This window comes from Homo sapiens, chromosome X (assembly GCF_000001405.40).
Source record: "Homo sapiens chromosome X, GRCh38.p14 Primary Assembly".
Classification (NCBI taxonomy): domain Eukaryota; kingdom Metazoa; phylum Chordata; class Mammalia; order Primates; family Hominidae; genus Homo; species Homo sapiens.
Window position 1 is genome coordinate 9,400,933 of NC_000023.11, and position 16,579 is coordinate 9,417,511.

General features: G+C 45.3%; 1 long non-coding RNA gene and 1 pseudogene across 2 annotated transcripts in view, besides 2 other annotated features; one reads left to right on the plus strand and one right to left on the minus strand.

The window, feature by feature from the left end:
* Window positions 1,815-15,150, plus strand: LOC442443 (chromodomain Y like protein pseudogene; annotated as a pseudogene).
* Window positions 5,139-6,338: an enhancer, noted in NCBI's record as "BRD4-independent group 4 enhancer chrX:9374111-9375310 (GRCh37/hg19 assembly coordinates)". NCBI's record gives its function as "activates an origin of replication core promoter dependent on BRD2, P300/CBP, MED14 and CDK7 cofactors, and independent of BRD4, by STARR-seq in HCT116 cells {active_cell/tissue: HCT116}" and the evidence as "EXISTENCE:reporter gene assay evidence [ECO:0000049][PMID:35650434]".
* LOC107985634 (uncharacterized) overlaps window positions 7,024-16,579 on the minus strand; it is a 35,569-nt gene continuing 26,013 nt past the window's right edge. For both annotated transcript variants that reach the window (XR_001755795.1, XR_001755796.1), the window contains exons 3-4: window positions 13,615-13,809; window positions 7,024-13,526 (exon numbers count right to left, since the gene is read on the minus strand). This is a non-coding gene — a long non-coding RNA (uncharacterized LOC107985634). The remainder of the gene's footprint in view (window positions 13,527-13,614; window positions 13,810-16,579) is intronic.
* Window positions 13,523-13,728: a silencer, noted in NCBI's record as "fragment chrX:9382495-9382700 (GRCh37/hg19 assembly coordinates)". NCBI's record gives its function as "represses an EF-1alpha promoter that drives an FKBP-Casp9 reporter gene in an ReSE screen in K562 erythroleukemia cells {active_cell/tissue: K562}" and the evidence as "EXISTENCE:reporter gene assay evidence [ECO:0000049][PMID:32094911]".

Genomic DNA, 16,579 nt, shown 5'->3' on the forward strand with positions numbered 1-16,579 from the left:
TTGAGTCCAAGAGTTCCAGACCAGCCTGGGCAACCTAGTGAGACCCTGTCTCTATAAAAAATTTAAAAAGAGCCAGGTGTGGTGGTGTGCACCTGTAGTCCCAGCTGCAGGGAAGGCTGAGGCAGGAGGATTGCTTGAGCCTCGCAGGTAAAGGCTGCAGTGAGCTATGTTCACCCCATTGCACTCTAGCCTGGGCAACAGAGTGAGACCCTGTCTCTAAAAAAAGTAAAATAAAATAAAAACAATAACAGGCATAGATCCCAGATGGTAGACATTAAGATAGTGCCCACCACATGGAGGCAAGCCAAAGACTGGGCAGATGGGGAGAGAGCCGTGGAGTAGAATCAAGATGTTCTTGTTGCACACAGTTTCTCTGTTTCCCTTTAATGAAATGTGGTTTCAAATGCCACTCCGTCTCAGCCATGTTATGTGTGCTGTGGGATATTAGCGAAAGGTCCACGCTTCCATTGTTGGCCAGAGTGTCTCTTAGGCGATGTGGATGGGGCAACAGTATCCAGTATCCAGTGAAAAATCCCCAAGGGGAAGGTAAATGCCAATGACACAAACCCGGGAAGGTATTTGGCAATATCTGACAACAGTTTAAAGCTTATACTCCTCTGATCCAACTATCCTTCTTTGAGAATCCTCCTACAGTAATACCTATGTGCAAAATAACACATATGTAGAGACATTCATTATGCCATTGTTTGAGTAACAAAAGTCAAGAAATAAAGGAAATGTCCACCAATAAGGGACTGGGTGAGCTGAGCAGGGCAATGCAGCAGCTACAGAGTGAAACTGCCTTATAAACACTGATACCAAACCCTCGCCAAACTTATTCTAATAGACAGAAAACAGTTATGTAATAAAAATGAAAGAGTGCTGCAGGGCAGCGTGGGCCACGCGTGTAGTCCCAGCTATCAGGAAGCTGAGGTGGGAGAATCACTTGAGCCCAGGGGTTCTGGGCTGTAGCATATTATGCCGATCAAGTGTCTGCACTAAGTTTGGTATCAACATGGTGGTTTTGGGCTGACACAGTGGCTCATGCTTGTAATCCCAGCACTTTGGGAGGCAAAGGCATGTAGATCACCTGAGGTCAGGAGTTCGTGACCAGCCAGGTCAACATGGCAAAACCCCATCTCTACAAAAAATAGAAAAATTAGCCTGACGTGGTGGCGGGTGCCTGTAATCGCAGCTACTTGGGAGGCTGAGGCAGGAGAATCGCTTGAACTCAGGAGGTGGAGGTTGCAGTGAGCTGAGATGGTGCCACTGAACTCCAGCCTGGGCGACAAGAGCGAAACTCCAACTCAAAAAATAAATAAATAAAATATAGATAGATAGATAGATAGATAGATAGATAGATAGATAGTGACCTGCCAGGAGCAGGGGACCACCGGGTTGCCTAAGGAGGGGTGAACTGTCCCAGGATGGAAATGAAACAGGTCAAACCTCCTGTGTTGATCAATAGTGGGAGAGCACCTGTGAATAACCACTGCACTCCAGCCTGGGCAACATAGTGAGACCCGATCTCTAAAAATATTAATTAATAATAATAATTAAAGGATTATGCATAACAATAAAATTCAGAAAGATTTTTGATAGAGGTGATATGATTATTAGCAAAATCATTTAAATTCGGAAAAGCGTAGGACTGCAAACTTAAAATTTTAGTCATTGTTCTCCTGAGATGGGAAAAGGCTGTGATTCTTCATCTGAAGAGTCTTATCTTGGGTACTACTTGCCATCAATGACGAATTGTTTAAATTTGAGGAGGAGCGAACTGAATTACATTGGTCTATGCCAACTAAGGCAGGTTAGATTGAAAAGATTGTTGACAAAAGGAAAAATTAAAAAGGGAAGACAGAGTATTTGGTTCAGTGAAAAGGCTACAACAGCGAGGACGACACTTGGGAACCAGAGCAGCACCTCGTGAACTGTCAGGAATACATCCACGACTTCAACAGACACCACACGGAAAGGCAGAAAGAGAGCACATTGACCAGAACAAACAGGTCCTCTCCCAACAATGCTAGGAAACAAATCTCCAGATCCACAAACAGCAGCTTTTCTAAGTCCTCTCCTAAGGCACCAGTGATTGGGAGAGATCACGAATCCAAAAACAGCCAGCTGTTTGCTGCCAGCCAGCAGTTCAGGAAGAACACAGCTCCGTCTCTCTGCAGCCAGATGAAAATGGACCTAGTGAAGTCAGGTATCAAGATCCTCATGCCTAAGAGCCCCATTAAGCAGGACGCAGTGAATGGCTTTCAGAGTGAGAGCTCCAAAAAACTGGACCCCACAGAGCAGGGTCAGGAGGAATGGTAGTACCCAAAGTGGCAGCGGAAAAGCCAGACAAAGCTTTATTGGGCCCTGGTACTGAGCAGGCCAGGATGGGGAGCAAGCCTGGATACACCTGCTAGTGCCTCAGGTGCATGGCCCCGTAAGTGCAGCCATGGCCACAGGCCTACTCGTTAACAGGAAAGCTACATCTACATTCATGGATGCATTAACAGCCAGTGGGACAACCAACATACAGACATCTGTTACAGCAGTAACTGTCAGCAAAAGGAAATTTATTGACAACAGAAGAGAACAGCCTTTTAACAAACGATTGCATTTCAGTGTGAGGCAAACAGAAAGTGCCTAAGGATACAGAGTTATTGTGGCCGGGACAAAAGATGGCTTCACCCACATCTTATTCACTAGATCAACAGGGAATAACTCAGTAAATACAGCTGTAATGAAAAAAGTCTACCAGCTCTGACAACCACTGCTGATTACAGCAAGCTTGTACTGCTCAGCGCCTTTAACAGTGTCTTCTGTTGTGGACTTGACTTTATTTATTTTATGCAGTGTTTGACAGATGACAGAAAAAGAGAAAGCATTAAAATGGGAGAACCTATCAGAAACGTCGTGAATAATCTATGGCCATATCACTCTGAAAGTGACAGAAAAAAAGAAAGTGTTAAATAGGCAGAAGCTAACAGAAACTTCGTGAATAATCCCTGGCCATACCACCCGAAATAGGCACGATTTCTTCGGATATCAGAAGCTAAGCAGTATCTGCCCTGTATAGTGCATGGACACAAGGAACTTTGTGAATACTATTACTCCGTTCAAAAAACCTGTTACTGAAGTAAAAGAAGTTATCTGAAACATCATGAATAATCTATGACCATACGACCCTGAATATGATACAAAAAGAGAAAGCATTAAAATGGCAGAAGAGAAGCTACCAGAAACGTCGTACATAATCTACGGCCATAGCACAGTGAACGCTCCAATCTCATCTGGTCACTGAAGTACAGAGTACACGAGATTGCGCCCAGGGTACGGCCTCTTCAGTACTTGGATGGGAGGAACTTCGTGAAGGCTATCATTTCACTCAAACTGAATATTATTGAAGCAGTCACTATCCCAGCCATTCGACTAGAAGCATCCGTATTGCCCCTTTATGATATGGTTTAGGCTAATCAAAAGACTTGGTTTCCAACAACCTCTTCTACCTCTGAGCAGATTCCAGACAGCTGATTTACCATTACGTTTCCGAAATCATGGGACGACCAGCTGCAAGCGAGACGATGCTCAGTGGGTTGAAACTGATCACACAGAAGGCATTTGGCAACGGCCTTCTCTCCCAGCTGTTTGGGTCCTGGACCTTCACTCAGGAAATTGGTGGCTCAGATCAAGAAGCTTGTCTCATGTAATCGAATAGTGCTGGAGGAATCCAAAGCCTTGGTGTGCTGCAACATGAAGAGGGATCTGGAACAGGCCAACGAGAGAACATGTGAAGTACTGAAGAAAATCTGGGGTTCTGCCCAAGGGTTGGACTCCATGTGAAAGGACTTAGAAAGGAAGATGAATGAGTTTCGAGTGTCAGGCTGCACACGGACCACATCGGGTTCCAGCTGAGAAGAACACCATTGCTTCCATCTGTCCTTATCCATTCTCACAGCCTGAAACAAGCTCACTGGTAGCTTATGCTTGCAAGCAGGACTGGGAACATTCACGCTATTTATTCGGGAGTACTGACTCCAGAAAGTACAGCAACCTTGGACTGCTCAGCGCCATTGGTAGGGTCTTCCGTGGTGCACTTGGCCTTATTTATTTTTTACGACATTTGACAGAGGACAGAGAGAGAGCAAGCATTAAAACGGCAGAAGCTACTGGAAACGTCGTGAGCAATCTACAGTCATACCACCGTGAACGCTCCCAATCTTGTCTGGTCTCTGAAGTACAGAGTAGATGCGATTGGGCCCAGGTTGGGGCCTGTTTCATTGTTGGATAGAAGGAACTTCCTGAATGCTTTGTTCCGCTTAAGCTGCGTATTGTTGAAGCACTCAATGGCCCAGCCATTCGACTAGGAGCATCCGTATTGCCTCTTTGTGATATGGTTTAGGCTAATGAAAAGACTTGGTTTCCAACACCCTCTTCTACCTCTGGGCAGATTCCAGATAGCTGATCTACCATTACGTTTCCGAAATCATGGGACGACCAGCTGCAAGCGAGACGATGCTCACTGGGTTGAAACTGATCACACAGGAGGCATTTGGCAACAGCCTTCTCTCCCAGCTGTTTGGATCCTGGACCTTCAATCAGGAAATTGGTGGCTCAGATCAAGAAGCTTGTCTCATGTAATCGAATAGTGCTGGAGGAATCCAAAGCCTTGGTGTGCTGCAACATGAAGAGGGATCTGGAACAGGCCAACGAGAGAACATGTGAAGTACTGAAGAAAATCTGGGGTTCTGCCCAAGGGTTGGACTCCATGTGAAAGGACTTAGAAAGGAAGATGAATGAGTTTCGAGTGTCAGGCTGCACACTGACCACATCGGGATCCAGCTGAGAAGAACACCATTGCTTCCGGCTGTCCTTCTTCATTCTCACAGCCTGAAACAAGCTCACTGGTAGCTTATGCTTGCAAGCAGGACCGGGAACATTCACGCTATTTATTCGGGAGTACTCTGGATAAATCATCCCATTATTTTGGAAATGTAATGCTAGGTCAGGTATCTGGAATCTTCCTGGAGGTAGAAGAGGGTATTGGATGGAAGGAACTTCGTGAATGCGATCATTGAACTCCAGAAAGTACACCAACCTTGTACTGCTCAGGGCCTTAGGTAGGGTCTTCTGTGGCGCACTTGACCTTATTTATGTTTTACAACGTTTGACAGAGGACAGAAAGAGAGCAAGCATTAAAAGGGCAAAAGCTACCAGAAACATCGTGAACAATCTACAGCCATACCACCGTGAACGCTCCCAATCTCGTCTGGCCTCTGAAGTACAGAGTAGAGGAGATTGGGCCCAGGTAGGGGCCTGTTTCATAGTTGGATGGAAGGAACTTTGTGAATGCTATCATTTAACTTAAGCTGTCTATTACTAAACAAGTCAGCCGCCCAGCCATTCGACTAGGAGCATCCGTATTGCCTCTTTGTGATATGGTTTAGGCTAATGAAAAGACTTGGTTTCCAACACCCTCTTCTACCTCTGAGCAGATCCCACATAGCTGATCTACCATTACGTTTCCGAAATCATGGGACGACCAGCTGCAAGCGAGACGATGCTCACTGGGTTGAAACTGATCACTCAGGAGGCAGTTGGCAACGGCCTTCTCTCCCAGCTGTTTGAGTCCTGGACCTTCACTTAGGAAATTGGTGGCTCAGATCAAGAAGCTTGTCTCATGTAATCGAATAGTGCTGGAGGAATCCAAAGCCTTGGTGTGCTGCAACATGAAGAGGCATCTGGAACAGGCCAACGAGAGAACATGTGAAGTACTGAAGAAAATCTGGGGTTGTGCCCAAGGGTTGGACTCCATGTGAAAGGACTTAGAAAGGAAGATGAATGAGTTTCCATTGTCAGGCTGCACACTGACCACATCGGGTTCCGGCTGAGAAGAACACCATTGCTTCCATCTGTCCTTATCCATTCTCACAGCCTGAAACAAGCTCACTGGTAGCTTATGCTTGCCAGCAGGACTGGGAACATTCACGCTATTTATTCGGGAGTACTGACTCCAGAAAGTACAGCAACCTTGGACTGCTCAGCGCCATTGGTACGGTCTTCCGTGGTGCACTTGGCCTTATTTATTTTTTACGACATTTGACAGAGTGCAGAGAGAGAGCAAGCATAAAAACGGCAGAAGCTACTGGAAACGTCCTGAACAATCTACAGTCATACCACCGTGAACGCTCCCAATATTGTTTGGTCTCTGAAGTACAGAGTAGATGCGATTGGGCCCAGGTTGGGGCCTGTTTCATTGTTGGATAGAAGGAACTTCCTGAATGCTTTGTTCCGCTTAAGCTGCGTATTGTTGAAGCACTCAATGGCCCAGCCATTCGACCAGGAGCATCCGTATTGCCTCTTTGTGTTATGGTTTAGGCTAATGAAAAGACTTGGTTTCCAACACCCTCTTCTACCTCTGGGCAGATTCCAGATAGCTGATCTACCATTACGTTTCCGAAATCATGGGACGACCAGCTGCAAGTGAGACGATGCTCAGTGGGTTGAAACTGATCACACAGGAGGCATTTGGCAACGGCCTTCTCTCCCAGCTGTTTGGATCCTGGACCTTCACTCAGGAAATTGGTGGCTCAGATCAAGAAGCTTGTCTCATGTAATCGAATAGTGCTGGAGGAATCCAAAGCCTTGGTGTGCTGCAACATGAAGAGGGATCTGGAACAGGCCAACGAGAGAACATGTGAAGTACTGAAGAAAATCTGGGGTTCTGCCCGAGGGTTGGACTCCATGTGAAAGGACTTAGAAAGGAAGATGAACGAGTTTCGAGTGTCAGGCTGCACAATGACCACATGGGGTTCCGGCTGAGAAGAACACCATTGCTTCCACCTGTCCTTATCCATTCTCACAGCCTGAGACAAGCTCACTGGTAGCTTATGCTTGCAAGCAGGACTAGGAACATTCACGCTATTTATTCGGGAGTACTGACTCCAGAAAATACAGGAAGCTTGGACTGCTCGGCGCCATTGGTAGGGTCTTCCGTGGTGCACTTGGGTTATTTATTTTTTACGACATTTGACAGAGGACAGAGAGAGAGCAAGCATTCAAACGGCAGAAGCTACTGGAAACGTCGTGAACAATCTATAGTCATACCACCGTGAACGCTCCCAATCTTGTCTGGTCTCTGAAGTACAGAGTAGATGCGATTGGGCCCAGGTTCGGGCCTGTTTCATTGTTGGATAGAAGGAACTTCCTGAATGCTATTGTTCAGCTTAAGCTGCGTATTGTTGAAGCACTCAATGGCCCAGCCATTCGAATAGGAGCATCCGTATTGCCTCTTTGTGATATGGTTTAGGCTAATGAAAATACTTGGTTTCCAACACCCTCTTCTACCTCTGGGCAGATTCCAGATAGCTGATCTACCATTACGTTTCCGAAATCATGGGACGACCAGCTGCAAGTGAGACGATGCTCAGTGGGTTGAAACTGATCACACAGGGGGCATTTGGCAACGGCCTTCTCTCCCAGCTGTTTGGAACCTGGACCTTCACTCAGGAAATTGGTGGCTCAGATCAAGAAGCTTGTCTCATGTAATCGAATATTGCTGGAGGAATCCAAAGCCTTGGTGTGCTGCAACATGAAGAGGGATCTGGAACAGGCCAACGAGAGAACATGTGAAGTACTGAAGAAAATCTGGGGTTCTGCCCGAGGGTTGGACTCCATGTGAAAGGACTTAGAAAGGAAGATGAACGAGTTTCGAGTGTCAGGCTGCACACTGACCACATGGGGTTCCGGCTGAGAAGAACACCATTGCTTCCAACTGTCCTTATCCATTCTCACAGCCTGAGACAAGCTCACTGGTAGCTTATGCTTCCAAGCAGGACTAGGAACATTCACGCTATTTATTCGGGAGTACTGACTCCAGAAAGTACAGGAAGGTTGGACTACTCGGCGCCATTGGTAGGGTCTTCCGTGGTGCACTTGGCCTTATTTATTTTTTACGACATTTGACAGAGGGCAGAGAGAGAGCAAGCATTAAAACGGCAGAAGCTACTGGAAACGTCGTGAGCAATCAACAGTCATACCACCGTGAACGCTCCCAATCTTGTCTGGTCTCTGAAGTACAGAGTAGATGCGATTGGGCCCAGGTTCGGGCCTGTTTCATTGTTGGATAGAAGGAACTTCCTGAATGCTTTGTTCAGCTTAAGCTGCGTATTGTTGAAGCACTCAATGGCCCAGCCATTCGACTAGGAGCATCCGTATTGCCTCTTTGTGATATGGTTTAGGCTAATGAAAAGACTTGGTTTCCAACACCCTCTTCTACCTCTGAGCAGATCCCACATAGCTGATCTACCATTACGTTTCCGAAATCATGGGACGACCAGCTGCAAGCGAGATGATGCTCAGTGGGTTGAAACTGATCACACAGGAGGCATTTGGCAACGGCCTTCTCTCCCAGCTGTTTGGATCCTGGACCTTCACTCAGGAAATTGGTGGCTCAGATCAAGAAGCTTGTCTCATGTAATCGAATAGTGCTGGAGGAATCCAAAGCCTTCGTGTGCTGCAACATGAAGAGGGATCTGGAACAGGCCAACGAGAGAACATGTGAAGTACTGAAGAAAATCTGGGGTTCTGCCCAAGGGTTGGACTCCATGTGAAAGGACTTAGAAAGGAAGATGAACGAGTTTCGAGTGTCAGGCTGCACACTGACCACATGGGGTTCCGGCTGAGAAGAACACCATTGCTTCCACCTGTCCTTATCCATTCTCACAGCCTGAGACAAGCTCACTGGTAGCTTATGCTTCCAAGCAGGACTAGGAACATTCACGCTATTTATTCGGGAGTACTGACTCCAGAAAGTACAGGAAGCTTGGACTGCTCGGCGCCATTGGTAGGGTCTTCCGTGGTGTACTTGGCCTTATTTATTTTTTACGACATTTGACAGAGGGCAGAGAGAGAGCAAGCATTAAAACGGCAGAAGCTACTGGAAACGTCGTGAGCAATCTACAGTCATACCACCGTGAACGCTCCCAATCTTGTCTGGTCTCTGAAGTACAGAGTAGATGCGATTGGGCCCAGGTTCGGGCCTGTTTCATTGTTGGATAGAAGGAACTTTCTGAATGCTTTGTTCCGCTTAAGCTGTGTATTGTTGAAGCACTCAATGGCCCAGCCATTCGACTAGGAGCATCCGTATTGCCTCTTTGTGATATGGTTTAGGCTAATGAAAAGACTTGGTTTCCAACACCCTCTTCTACCTCTGGGCAGATTCCAGATAGCTGATCTACCATTACGTTTCCGAAATCATGGGACGACCAGCTGCAAGCGAGACGATGCTCAGTGGGTTGAAACTGATCACACAGGAGGCATTTGGCAACGGCTTTCTCTCCCAGCTGTTTGGATCCTGGACCTTCACTCAGGAAATTGGTGGCTCAGATCAAGAAGCTTGTCTCATGTAATCGAATAGTGCTGGAGGAATCCAAAGCCTTGGTGTGCTGCAACATGAAGAGGGATCTGGAACAGGCCAACGAGAGAACATGTGAAGTACTGAAGAAAATCTGGGGTTCTGCCCAAGGGTTGGACTCCATGTGAAAGGATTTAGAAAGGAAGATGAACGAGTTTCGAGTGTCAGGCTGCACAGTGACCACATCGGGTTCCAGCTGAGAAGAACACCATTCCTTCCGGGTGTCCTTATCCATTCTCACAGCCTGAAACAAGCTCACTGGTAGCTTATGCTTGTAAGCAGGACCGGGAACATTCACGCTATTTATTCGGGAGTACTCTGGATAAATCGTTCCATTATTTCGGAAATGTAATGCTAGGTCAGGTATCTGGAATCTTCCTGGAGGTAGAAGAGCGTATTGGATGGAAGGAACTTCGTGAATGCGATCATTGAACTCCAGAAAGTACACCAAGCTTGTACTGCTCGGGGCCTTAGGTAGGGTCTTCTGTGGCGCACTTGACCTTATTTATGTTTTACAACGTTTGACAGAGGACAGAAAGAGAGCAAGCATTAAAAGGGCAAAAGCTACCAGAAACATCGTGAACAATCTACAGCCATACCACCGTGAACGCTCCCAATCTCGTCTGGCCTCTGAAGTACAGAGTAGAGGAGATTGGGCCCAGGTAGGGGCCTGTTTCATAGTTGGATGGAAGGAACTTTGTGAATGCTATCATTTAACTTAAGCTGTCTATTACTAAACCAGTCAGCCGCCCAGCCATTCGACTAGGAGCATCCGTATTGCCTCTTTGTGATATGGTTTAGGCTAATGAAAAGACTTGGTTTCCAACACCCTCTTCTACCTCTGGGCAGATTCCAGATAGCTGATCTACCATTACGTTTCCGAAATCATGGGACGACCAGCTGCAAGTGAGACGATGCTCAGTGGGTTGAAACTGATCACTCAGGAGGCATTTGGCAACGGCCTTCTCTCCCAGCTGTTTGGATCCTGGACCTTCACTCAGGAAATTGGTGGCTCAGATCAAGAAGCTTGTCTCATGTAATCGAATAGTGCTGGAGGAATCCAAAGCCTTGGTGTGCTGCAACATGAAGACGGATCTGGAACAGGCCAACGAGAGAACATGTGAAGTACTGAAGAAAATCTGGGGTTCTGCCCAAGGGTTGGACTCCATGTGAAAGGACTTAGAAAGGAAGATGAACGAGTTTCGAGTGTCAGGCTGCACACTGACCACATCGGGTTCCGGCTGAGAAGAACACCATTGCTTCCATCTGTCCTTATCCATTCTCACAGCCTGAGACAAGCTCACTGGTAGCTTATGCTTGCAAGCAGGACTGGGAACATTCACGCTATTTATTCGGGAGTACTGACTCCAGAAAGTACAGCAACCTTGGACTGCTCAGCGCCATTGGTACGGTCTTCCGTGGTGCACTTGGCCTTATTTATTTTTTACGACATTTGACAGAGGACAGAGAGAGAGCAAGCATTAAAACGGCAGAAGCTACTGGAAACGTCGTGAACAATCTACAGTCATACCACCGTGAACGCTCCCAATCTTGTCTGGTCTCTGAAGTACAGAGTAGATGCGATTGGGTCCAGGTTCGGGCCTGTTTCATTGTTGGATAGAAGGAACTTCCTGAATGCTATTGTTCAGCTTAAGCTGCGTATTGTTGAAGCACTCAATGGCCCAGCCATTCGACTAGGAGCATCCGTATTGCCTCTTTGTGATATGGTTTAGGCTAATGAAAAGACTTGGTTTCCAACACCCTCTTCTACCTCTGGGCAGATTCCAGATAGCTGATCTACCATTACGTTTCCGAAATCATGGGACGACCAGCTGCAAGTGAGACGATGCTCAGTGGGTTGAAACTGATCACTCAGGAGGCATTTGGCAACGGCCTTCTCTCCCAGCTGTTTGGATCCTGGACCTTCACTCAGGAAATTGGTGGCTCAGATCAAGAAGCTTGTCTCATGTAATCGAATATTGCTGGAGGAATCCAAAGCCTTGGTGTGCTGCAACATGAAGAGGGATCTGGAACAGGCCAACGAGAGAACATGTGAAGTACTGAAGAAAATCTGGGGTTCTGCCCGAGGGTTGGACTCCATGTGAAAGGACTTAGAAAGGAAGATGAACGAGTTTCGAGTGTCAGGCTGCACACTGACCACACGGGGTTCCGGCTGAGAAGAACACCATTGCTTCCACCTGTCCTTATCCATTCTCACAGCCTGAGACAAGCTCACTGGTAGCTTATGCTTCCAAGCAGGACTAGGAACATTCACGCTATTTATTCGGGAGTACTCTGGATAAATCGTCCCATTATTTCGGAAATGTAATGCTAGGTCAGGTATCTGGAATCTTCCTGGAGGTAGAAGAGGGTATTGGATGGAAGGAACTTCATGAATGCGATCATTGAACTCCAGAAAGTACACCAACCTTGTACTGCTCAGGGCCTTAGGTAGGGTCTTCTGTGGTGCACTTGACCTTATTTATGTTTTACAACGTTTGTCAGAGGACAGAAAGAGAACAAGCATTAAAAGGGCAAAAGCTACCAGAAACATCGTGAACAACCTACACCCATACCACTGTGAACGCTCCCAATCTCGTCTGGCCTCTGATGTACAGAGTAGAGGAGATTGGGCCCAGGTAGGGGCCTGTTTCATAGTTGGATGGAAGGAACTTTGTGAATGCTATCATTTAACTTAAGCTGTCTATTACTAAAGCAGTCAACAGCCCAGCCGTTCGACTAGGAGCACCCATATTGCCTCTTTGTGATATGGTTTTGGCTAATGAAAAGACTTGGTTTCCAACACCCTCTTCTACCTCTGGGCAGATTCCAGATAGCTGATCTACCATTACGTTTCCGAAATCATGGGACGACCAGCTGCAAGCGAGACGATGCTCAGTGGGTTGAAACTGATCACACAGGAGGCATTTGGCAACGGCCTTCTCTCCCAGCTGTTTGGATCCTGGACCTTCAATCAGGAAATTGGTGGCTCAGATCAAGAAGCTTGTCTCATGTAATCGAATAGTGCTGGAGGAATCCAAAGCCTTGGTGTGCTGCAACATGAAGAGGGATCTGGAACAGGCCAACGAGAGAACATGTGAAGTACTGAAGAAAATCTGGGGTTCTGCCCAAGGGTTGGACTCCATGTGAAAGGACTTAGAAAGGAAGATGAATGAGTTTCGAGTGTCAGGCTGCACACTGACCACATCGGGTTCCAGCTGAGAAGAACACCATTGCTTCCGGCTGTCCTTATCCATTCTCACAGCCTGAAACAAGCTCACTGGTAGCTTATGCTTGCAAGCAGGACCGAGAACATTCACGCTATTTATTCGGGAGTACTCTGGATAAATCGTCCCATTATTTCGGAAATGTAATGCTAGGTCAGGTATCTGGAATGTTCCTGGAGGTAGAAGAGGGTATTGGATGGAAGGAACTTCGTGAATGCGATCATTGAACTCCAGAAAGTACAACAACCTTGTACTGCTCAGGGCCTTAGGTAGGGTCTTCTGTGGCGCACTTGACCTTATTTATGTTTTACAACGTTTGACAGAGGACAGAAAGAGAGCAAGCATTAAAAGGGCAAAAGCTACCAGAAACATCGTGAACAATCTACAGCCATACCACCGTGAACGCTCCCAATCTCGTCTGGCCTCTGAAGTACAGAGTAGAGGAGATTGGGCCCAGGTAGGGGCCTGTTTCATAGTTGAATGGAAGGAACTTTGTGAATGCTATCATTTAACTTAAGCTGTCTATTACTAAACCAGTCAGCTGCCCAGCCATTCGACTAGGAGCATCCGTATTGCCTCTTTGTGATATGGTTTAGGCTAATGAAAAGACTTGGTTTCCAACACCCTCTTCTACCTCTGAGCAGATCCCAGATAGCTGATCTACCATTACGTTTCCGAAATCATGGGACGACCAGCTGCAAGCGAGACGATGCTCAGTGGGTTGAAACTGATCACTCAGGAGGCATTTGGCAACGGCCTTCTCTCCCAGCTGTTTGAGTCCTGGACCTTCACTCAGGAAATTGGTGGCTCAGATCAAGAAGCTTGTCTCATGTAATCGAATAGTGCTGAAGGAATCCAAAGCCTTGGTGTGCTGCAACATGAAGAGGGATCTGGAACAGGCCAACGAGAGAACATGTGAAGTACTGCAGAAAATCTGGGGCTCTGCTCAAGGGTTGGACTCCATGTGAAAGTACTTACACAGGAAGATGAATGAGTTTCGAGTGTCAGGCTGCACACTGACCGCACCGGGTTCCGGCTGAGAAGAACACCATTGCTTCCAGCTGTCCTTATCCATTGTCACAGCCTGAGTCATGCTCGCTGGTAGCTCACGTGTGGAAGCAGGACTCGGAAAATCCACGCTATGTATTATCGAGTAGTTTGAAAGTACTGTAGCTTTAAAATAAAATAAAATCACTTAAAATAAAATGAAATACTACAATGCTTTTCTGTCTAAGCATCAGTATTTTATAGTCATATACACACAACTATAACAGTTTAATGGTGATCACAGGATTGCTCTTAGAAGCTCTAATTTCTCTTGTCTTTGGCTAGTACTGTATAAAACCAGAAGTGTGTTTTATTGATTTTGGTGACAGAAAAATCTGAAATAATGTTTGTTTTGGTCATGTTTTCCTTCTAGAACAGAGAATCTAAAGGGGTATTAGCCCGCCTCACCTCCCCTGTCCTACATAGAGACACAGAGTCATCTGAGGCATTGGCTTTTTCTCCAAGTAGGTACCGATACCTCAGATTCGGGAAATTCCAAATCAAAAATAAGACTTAGCTTCTACAACAAATACTTCTGATGAAACATTCACTGAGGAGCATACTCCTAAACCAGACATATGTTTAAGATTCATGCTGAGATATCAGTTGGTTTCCCCTTCCTTTTAAAATACATCCAGTTCTTACCCAGTTACTATAAGCAAAGCAATGTCTCTAGAAGAAAGCTTTCTTTGCAGTATTAGTGAAGCACTGAATAGCTTAAGTTTGAATATCTAGGTTACAAGTTAGTCTTTGGCGGGTTTTAAATAGTTTTTTGACCCTTTTGAAATATAACTATATGAGTGCTTCTTGTTGCTGGGTGAGAAATGCTACTTTATATACAGTTTTGGTTTTCGTTTTGCAGATATGATTGATGTATTACACCACAATAAAGTATTTTTATGTTTACATAGTGTAATTTTTAGGTTCACTTAGAATACATTTTATTTAATAAATTAAAATTATTTCGGTACACTATTAAATGCAAAATCTCCTTTCCAAACAAAAAAGAACTACCTTATATTCGTCATTGAATGTTCTTGGTCTGTGCTTTTATGTTTATATAATATGGTGAATTCAGTATGGTGTCCAAGTGTGCCCTGCGTTGATAGACACGTGCCTTCCTTCCAGGAGTGGGTACTGACTCCAGACTCCAGATCCCTATTTCTAGTTAGGCTTCTGAGCTTGCAATCATATTGAATGTATGATGAGCAAAATAAAATCAAAACCTTATTTTTGTACATTTTTGAAATATATACTTAGAACTGACCACCTCCCTGGCCCCATGGAGAGCTGTATCGTGTGTAAAGCCGCCTTTACCTTGATTCATGCAGTGTTTTTGCATCTGTGGGACCTACCTTTTCGTTCATTAGTTTGAACTATACATAAACTGTACGATCTGTAAAGTTTTTATATAATAAATATTCACCTGTGAAAACTGGTTAAATAAAACTAATATTTCTTACACACGCACACACAAAAAAGCATTCCACAATGGGCATGACAAAAAGTCCCTCTTTCAGAAAGATGCTTCTGCAGTAGAAGTTGGCTACCTTGATGCAATGACATGGCCAGTTCTGATCCTCTAATTTGTTTGGGATGCTTCTGCTACATTTTCAAATGACTTCAGTCAGTGGTTCCCACAAATGAAATATTTGCCAGACAAGACGTTGTTGCATTTCTGTGACTTTTACATTTATTAAACAATTGCTTCCTCCTCCCAGGGTAATAGCCTCCAATCTCCCCACTTTTTCAAAACATTATTGACAATTTTTCTACCATATGTTGACACTGTGTTTCAATTCTCGTATCTTTTTATTCCCTAGGGCACAATTGGTTCTGCTATGACAATCTCCAGGGTAAGGATTCAATTGTACAAGGTTATGTGAGCTTGCAAATGAAGGAGACAGAGAGAGAGAGAGAAAAAAAAAAAAAGGAAAAGGTGGAGGAGGGAAGGAGGGGACAAGAGGGGGAGAGAGAGAAAGTACAAATGGGAGACCTCAACTCTAGCCATTAAAAATGGTGGTTCTAAAAATCCACCACACAGTCAGAACTCAGCTTTTTACATGTGCTCACATCCATACAGAAAAGACATGTTTTGTGTTTTTCCTAGTGAATTCTTGGCAAATACTGTCAGTTGTGAAATACAAGATGGGGAACTCTTTCTCTGAAAACGTAGCCGGGGAAAAATGATGCAGTTAGGTGGAGAAATAGCTGCCTTGAAAAACAAGTTTCCTTGAGTTGATGAAACACTAGAGGAGAGAAGAGGTCCCCTTGCATGTCTTCCCCATCTCTGTGTTTATTTGCTGATCCAAACTGATTACTGTTAAAATATGCATGCCAGCATTTCATTTTCAACAAATGCTACTCCAAGTATTCATTAGCGTCTTATCCACTGTCTCTAAAATAATCTACAGTGGCCTGAATAGCTGTAGAATGACAGGAGAAAGATTGCAAGGCGACGTGCATGGGGGCCCTGAGGGCAAGGCACAGCTTGCTGGCTCCGTGGTAAGGGGTGGGTACTTGGCATCAGCCCCTCAGCAGAGAGGGCAGGACTGGGTGTAGCAAGTGACTCACAGAAAATGCATTACCCCATTGAAATGTCACCAGAATTGAATTGAAATGTCACCAAAGAAGCTCATGGGGTGAGAAATTGCCATGTGCTTTAAAAAATAATTATTATTAAATCCAACTAAAGCATGTACATAATTGAATCTGAGGTACTAGCAATCCTTGTTCCATCTTTCTTCACCCCCATCCTCCACCCCAGGAGCAACAACTTTCCACTCCATTCTGTTCCTTCTAGAATTTTCCTCTATATTTCTAAATAATTTTCATATACTGTTATTTCTCAATTTATTAATTTTAGTCATTTTTATCAACTTCTGTTATGATACTG